This window comes from Homo sapiens, chromosome 7, assembly GCF_000001405.40.
Source record: "Homo sapiens chromosome 7, GRCh38.p14 Primary Assembly".
In the NCBI taxonomy this organism is placed as follows: Eukaryota; Metazoa; Chordata; class Mammalia; order Primates; family Hominidae; genus Homo; species Homo sapiens.
In genome coordinates, this window is record NC_000007.14 from 142,934,110 (window position 1) to 142,940,930 (window position 6,821).

A 6,821-nucleotide genomic window follows, 5' to 3' on the forward strand; every position below is an offset into this window, starting at 1 on the left:
GGCTATGCCGTCTCACGGGAGCATCTGTAAAGCATGTGTCACAAGTACTCAATCACTGCCGATCCTCCTTCCACAAGAGGGCTCAAGAGACCCCCGGGCTGCTTCTCAGAGCTTCCCATTTATGTGTCTTGTGGTCATCTCTGTCCTCAACCCTGTACCTCAAAGGAGGGTTTCTGACCCCCACTTCCCAGGCCAATCCCTCTCTGTGAGAAGTCCTCATGACCGTGACCGGCCAGCTTCCTGGAGCGTCGCCGAGCAGGCTCTGGTACCTGGGGACGCAGGTCAGAGGAGCCCCCAGGGGCCTCGAGTTATTATGGAGGTTGAACAGCAGAAACTGAGCAAAGGTAGACGACAAATAAATCGTGATTCCATGTTTGGGACTCTTTCCAGGAATGAAACACCAGGAGGAATAAGTAATGTTGCACTATTTTATATATTTTATATTATATTTTATATATTAAGTAGTTTCCCTTATCCACAGTTTCACTCTCTGATGGTTCAGTTACCTAAGGTCAGCCACAGTTGGAAAATAGGTGAGTACAGTACTATAACATATTTTGAGAGACAGAGAGAAAGAGAACATTCACATAACTTTATATTATTATAATTTTCATTTTATTGTTGTTAAACTCTTTTTTTTTTTTTTTTGAGACAGAGTTTCACTTTCGTTGCCCAGGCTGGAGAGCAATGGTGTGATCTTGGCTCACTGCAACATCCACCTTCCAGGTTCAAGTTATTCTCCTGCCGCAGCCTCCCTAGTAGCTGGGATTACAGGTGCCCACCACCACGCCTGGCTAATTTTTGTATTTTTAGTAGAGACAGGGTTTTACCATGTTGGCCAGGCTAGTCTCGAACTCCTGACCTCAGGTGATCTGCTTGCCTCGGCCTCCTGAAGTGCTGGGATTACAGGCGTGAGTCACTATGCCCGGCCTAAACTCTTCACTGTGCCTAATGTATAAATTAAACTTCATCATATGTATGTATGTATGTATGTATGTATGTATGTATGTATGTATGTATGTACGTGTAGGAAAAAAGATAGTATATACAGGGTTTGGTGCTATCTAAGGTTCCTGGCATCCACTGGGGCGTCTTGGAATGTATCCCCTGAGGATAAAAGGTGACTACTGTATATGATAGCTTGTATTTATGTTCTCATTTTTTTTATTATTATACTTTAAGTTCTAGGGTACATGTGCACAATATGCAGGTTTGTTACATATGTATACATGTGCCATGTTGGTGTGCTGCACCCATTAACTGTCATTTACATTAGGTATATCTCCTAATGTATCCCTCCCCCCTCCCCCAACCCCACGACAGGTCCTGGTGTGTGATGTTCCCCTTCCTGTGTCCAAGTGTTCTCATTGTTCAATTCTGTTCTCATTGTTTTCAAAGAGGTACATCAATATTATTGAATTGCATTCACTCAATAGACCTATCAGGTAAATGAGAACAAGGAAGAATTCCGTCTGTGAGAATTCTTGGGTGTGCTGGCCCCAAGTCCCATGGCTAGTGGCGAGACTGTAACTGGCCATGAACTTGGGATCTCAGCTCCAAACCACTCTCCAGACCTTGTTGCTTCTTGGGAATCTTTTGGCTGTAAAGGTGTGAGAGACCAGCGTGAGGATACGCTGGGACTCTCCCTCTGGGGGTCTTGAGGAGTGGGGACTGCCCCCTTCTTTTGTTGTAAGAAAGAGAGATCTGCTCCCAAGATTGAGGGATGGACAAAATAACCTTTAGAGAAGGACAAGAATTGAAAGGAAAATAAATAAGGAAACTAAGAGGAGCTAGTGTTCATTGATGTTTCAAAAGGGGGAAAATTTGGATCTTTTTCTTATTAAAAGCCAAAAGGAAAAGTTAAGTAAAAAAAAAAAAAGATACAGTGGAATTATGTTCTCACTGGGAGTGGGGAGGGCTCAACTTGTGGGACATTTTTCTGCCTCGCTGGGGGTGACGCCCTTGTGGAGTGACTTCCAGTCTAAGGAGATGGAGGGAGCGATAAGGGTGAGGTGGGGGTTGTAGATGCCTTGATAAGCGAGGCAGGTCAGGAAAGGAGCACCTGCCAAGGAAACTACAACCCATAAAGCTGGTCCTGGGGCGGGGGGGTTGGGACATGGGGGGCCGGCAGGGGAGGAGGCTGGCCCAGTCTGAGCTGCACAGAGCAGGTGTGCAGGGACTTGCCGCCAAGGGCATGTCCAGGGGTCTGGGGAAGAGAAAGGGGAGGCCCAATGCTCAGGCCCCCCCACCCGCCATCCCTGGGCCTTCGCCCTCTCACTTGCCCTTCTCTGCCTACCTCGTCCTCTCCAGTGGGAAGGGCATGGACAAGTAACCTGGGTGAGGACCATGGTGTCCCCCGGCAGTCCCAGCTGGTAGACCAGAGATTTGGAGTCTCTCCTGTTCTCTCCTTGCCTTCTCTCCAGACTGTTTCTTCCTCTTGTGATATTCGACATCACCATTCTATTTTTCCTTTTCTCTCCTTTCTTTTCATGCCTCTCTCAGCTTTCTGCAAGTGAGGACATCTGCAAACTCTCGCCTTCAGAGAGCAGCTTCCCTGCCACTGATGAATGGTCAGTAATGCCTCCAGGCACTCGGGAGAACTGGGCTGGGGGCACCAAACTACACCGTCAAGTCCCAGAACCCTTCACGCCAAAGCAGCCTGACCTCTTATTCTAACATAATAAAGAGGAGGAGGAACCATAATACCTAGATTTCCATTTTTAAAAATTACACTCCCACCCTACGTGGCCACAGCCATCTACGAAAAGGATTCAGGGCCGGATGCGGTGGCTCATGCCTGTAATCCCAGCACTTTGGGAGGCCGAGGCGGGCGCCTCACGAGGTCAGGAGTTCGAGACCAGCCTGGCCAACATAGTGAAACTCCGTCTCTACAAAAAAAAATTAGCTGGGCCTGGTGGCAGGCACATGCAATCCCAGCTACTCAGAAGGCTGAGGCAGGAGAATCACTTGAACCCGGGAGGTGGAGGTTGCAGTGAGCTGAAATTGCGCCTTTGCACTCCAGCCCAGGCAACAGTATGAGAGACTCCATCTCAAAAAAAAAAAAATAGAAAGAAAGAAAAGGATTCAAATACCATACCTTAAAACTAACTGTGGCCAGGCGCAGTGGCTCACACCGGTAATCCCAGCACTTTGGGAGGCCGAGGCGGGCAGATCACCTGAGGTAGGGAGTTCGAGACCTTCCTGACCAACAGAAAGAAACCCTTTCTCTATTAAAAATACAAAATTAGCTGGGTGTGGTGGCACATGCCTGTAATTCCAGCTACTCGGGAGGCTGAGACAGGAGAATCACTTGAACCCAGGAGGTGGAGGTTGTAGGTGAGCTGAGATCGTGCCATTGCCCTCCCGTCTGGGCAACAAGAGTGAGACTCCATCTCAAAAAAAAAAAAGTGATTATCACTGGATGGTGGAATTATTAGCCTTTTTGGGGTTTTGTATTTTTCTATATTTTCTACTTTGTAATAAGAAAAAATATTTAAGGGATTCCCTGTTTTCTGCAAGAATTTATCTCTTTTAACACTGCGGAGGTCAGGCGGGTGGTGGTGGCAAGGAAATGGAAGTAATGGAAACAACTCAGTTATTTCCACTCAAGCCTGCCCGGGAGGCAATTCTCACCCCAGCCGCCCTCCCCATTCATTCCCACAGAGCTGGAGATGGCTTCTCTTTTTGCCAGGAAACCAAGAGGCTGCTCCCCCAAAATAGCCAGGAGGGAGGAGATTAGTGATGGTTTTTTCCATTCAAGCATCATTCTTTGGATCTCACGTCAATGGGTTCAAGGTGGGGTGAGCAGGGTCACCTGCCTACTTGAATCTTTCCTTACTCACCTTCAAGCGACCTCCGTACCACTCCCTAGTCCCTTGTCATCTGGCTTGGACCATCAGGAAGTGTGTAAGAGATGGTGTCTGCTGTATGTGAGACAGCATCCATGTGGGCATGTCTGCTAACACGAGTAAACTCTGTGGGAAAGCATCTCTTTGTGTGTTTCTGTCTGCAGTTCCCTCTTGCAGAAAGGGTGCCTGTCTCCGCAGTGTCCTTGGACCTGCATGTGGTATTTCATTCAGGTCTGGTATGCATGGATGAGCAGGAGCAGTGTGAACTGGTTATGAGAGTTCAGGAGTGACTAAAGTCTTCTCTTACCTGTCTTAGCAGCCATCCTGCATCTAATGGCCTATGTCTCTGTTGCTGGTTTTCGAAAAAAGGCCTTCATTCTGTCTCCCTAACTCACAACCCTCCAACCATCTCTGCCCAAGAAGCAGTTGGGGGTGATTACCCACAGCCGGTTACTGCCAACAGATCTGTGCTCACCAGGCTCATGGGCAGGAGGCGCATCCAAGTACTGAGGCAGGATTCTCCCAGATCTGTTATTTGGGATCCTAGACTCCCTGCCGCACTGCGGCTTCTCTGCAGACTCTAACTCCTTTTGCCAAGCAATGAGGTTGGAGATGAGCCTCTAACAACCTTTTCTTTCGTCTAAGAGTACAGAAAGGTGTAAAATGAAAGAAGAGGGTGTTTCAACCTGGTGGTACAAGAGGACAAAGGCTAGAAAAGTGGGAAAACCAGGGGAGGGTGAAGAGAGGGTGTGAATGGGCTCTACCAGCTGCAAGGCACCCTGCTCTTTGTCTCTCGCTCTCTCTCCGTTCACTCTCTCTTCATCTGTCTCTCTGTCTCTGCGTCTCTATCTCTCTGTCTCTACCCCTCAGTTTCTGCCTGTCTCGGTCTCTTTCTTTCTCTCTTTTTCTATGTCTCTGTCTGTCTCTGCCTGTCTATGCCTGTCTCTGTCTCTGTGTCTTTTATACACACACACAGCATGTGCTTTTACCCATCCTTACCCTATGCTCCTCCCCATCTTTATTTTCTGGCAGACCCATGCTTCATGTAGAGCAGCATGTTCATACCCACGACTTGAGAATCCTGTCCGGCTCATCTGTTCTGGGCCTCATCCTATGCAAACCACTCTTGTTACAGAAAGGCCACATAGAATAGTGGGAAGATATCATATTTAAAAGTAAAAGTTAATCAAGAGTCCTTTTCTGCCCCTTAGTATTTGGGCGATTTTGAGTGAGAGAGTCATTTTTTCTGTGAGCCTCAGTTTCCTCATGAATGTAATAGATATGAGAACACTATGATTTTGCAGTCCTGGTTTCTACGTGGATCTAATGGTGTAATGGATATGAATGTACATTGCAAGCTGTTAAGTCATTTCTGCTAAATACAGAATGACCCACTGTGGTCATCTTGGAAGCCTCGGCCATCCCTGCTGGCTGTGCTCCATTCTTGTGCCTCGCCATTGGAACGCTCTAGTGAGCCGGAATGAAGTTCAGGCCCATGGCTGTGATGTCACAGAACATGTGAAGTCAGAGGTCCTATGGAAGGTGAGGGGAGAAAATGCCCCTGGAAAGGGTTAAGGGCCAGGACAGGAATGGGGCAGGAGGTGCACGGATCCTGCTGGGCACTGGGAGCAGGGGGCGGCCAAAGGCAGTGGGTGGGCAGGTCCATGCCTCCCCTGGCCCCCCAGCTCTGCAGGGCAGTGTTCCTGGTTCCTATCTTGCTGCTGCTGCAGGTGAAGCCTCTGAACGGGAGCCCAGGCCCCAAAGATGGGAGCCAGACAGAGAAAACGCCCTCTGCAGGTAGGTGGAAAAAAAGACAGGAGCCATACAGAGAAAACACCCTCTTCAGGTAGGTAGAAAAAAAGACGGGAGAGTCTGGAGGCTCAGGGTGAGGTCTGTGTGAGGCCAGGCCCCAGGTCACTGATGAGGCTAGGGTGAGACCTGACATAGGTCTGGTTTATGGGGGGTAACTCCAGCCACTGATGGTTATCATGTGAAATAATAGTGTCGGCTCACCATGGGCCAGCTGAGCTTGCATGCAACTTCTGTGTGTGTAAGCATGGTGCATTTGGCTGGCTTTTGTCATGCTTCAAGGTGGCCCCTGACTCCCCCAGTGTTGAAACCCTAGAGGAGGCAGCTAACCTTAGGAATGGTGTGTGTGTGTGTGTGTGTGTGTGTGTGTGTGTGTGTGTGTGTGTGTGTGTTTGAGTTGGGGCTGTGATTGAACACAGACCAGAAAAAACCTCTAGAAAGAGCATCCCCTCTCTGGTGAAGGCTAAGGATATGGGCAATTGGGACTGCAGCCCTAGGCTTCAACGTGTTTTTCCTATTCTAACTTCTCCTTTCTGGTTCAGGCCAGGGTCAGGGCTCAGTCCTTGTCCTTTTCCCCTGTTCCAGACCAGAATCAAGAACAGTTCGAAGAGCACTTTGTGGCCTCCTCAGTGGGTGAGATGTGGCAGGTGGTGGACATGGCCCAGCAGGAAGAAGACCAGTCGTCCAAGACGGCAGCTGTTCACAAGCACTCTTTCCACCTCAGCTTCTGCTTTAGTCTGGCCAGTGTCATGGTTTTCTCAGGAGGGCCATTGAGGCGGACATTCCCAAATATCCAACTCTGCTTCATGCTCACTCACTGACCCTCCCTCCCTCCTGGGCTCCAGGTCACAACTCCCAAAGGAGATGCAGGCATGGCTCTCTGCCTCTGATCACCATCACTGTATCTCAAGGTTCAGCAGCAGAGATACCAGTTGCCATCAGTGCTAACTGACTGCCTCTCCAGGTTCGGAGTTTCATCTCCCAGGGCCAGAGACAGCAGACCCACATCCTTCTCTCCCACACCTCTCCTGGTTTTGTTCAGGACAGCAGATTAGAGGCAGGAGGCAATGACAATAAAATAACGATAAAATCCTGAGAACAATTGGGAGCAGCTTTCCGATACTTAATCCAAGCCCTTCTCGTCTCCAACTAGACTGCTTTATT

The 6,821-nt window shown here is 48.9% G+C and overlaps 1 protein-coding gene and 1 long non-coding RNA gene across 3 annotated transcripts; one reads left to right on the plus strand and one right to left on the minus strand.

The window, feature by feature from the left end:
• Positions 1,618-2,841, minus strand: LOC105375542 (uncharacterized). The gene is made up of 2 exons (XR_928065.1): positions 2,297-2,841; positions 1,618-1,737 (listed from the first exon to the last, which is right to left on the minus strand). It is a non-coding gene; the product is annotated as an uncharacterized LOC105375542 (long non-coding RNA).
• LLCFC1 (LLLL and CFNLAS motif containing 1) lies at positions 5,375-6,759 on the plus strand. 2 transcript variants are annotated; one of them, NR_160290.1, is made up of 3 exons: positions 5,375-5,390; positions 5,579-5,645; positions 6,243-6,756. NR_160290.1 is itself a non-coding variant. In NM_001382496.1 (2 exons), the coding sequence occupies exons 1-2, from the start codon at positions 5,513-5,515 to the stop codon at positions 6,476-6,478; spliced, it is 369 nt and encodes a 122-aa protein (NP_001369425.1). In that variant the 5' UTR covers positions 5,375-5,512; the 3' UTR covers positions 6,479-6,759. The 2 variants fall into 2 exon arrangements, 1 of the variants encoding a protein (NP_001369425.1); NM_001382496.1 differs by having other exon boundaries at positions 5,375-5,645; positions 6,243-6,759.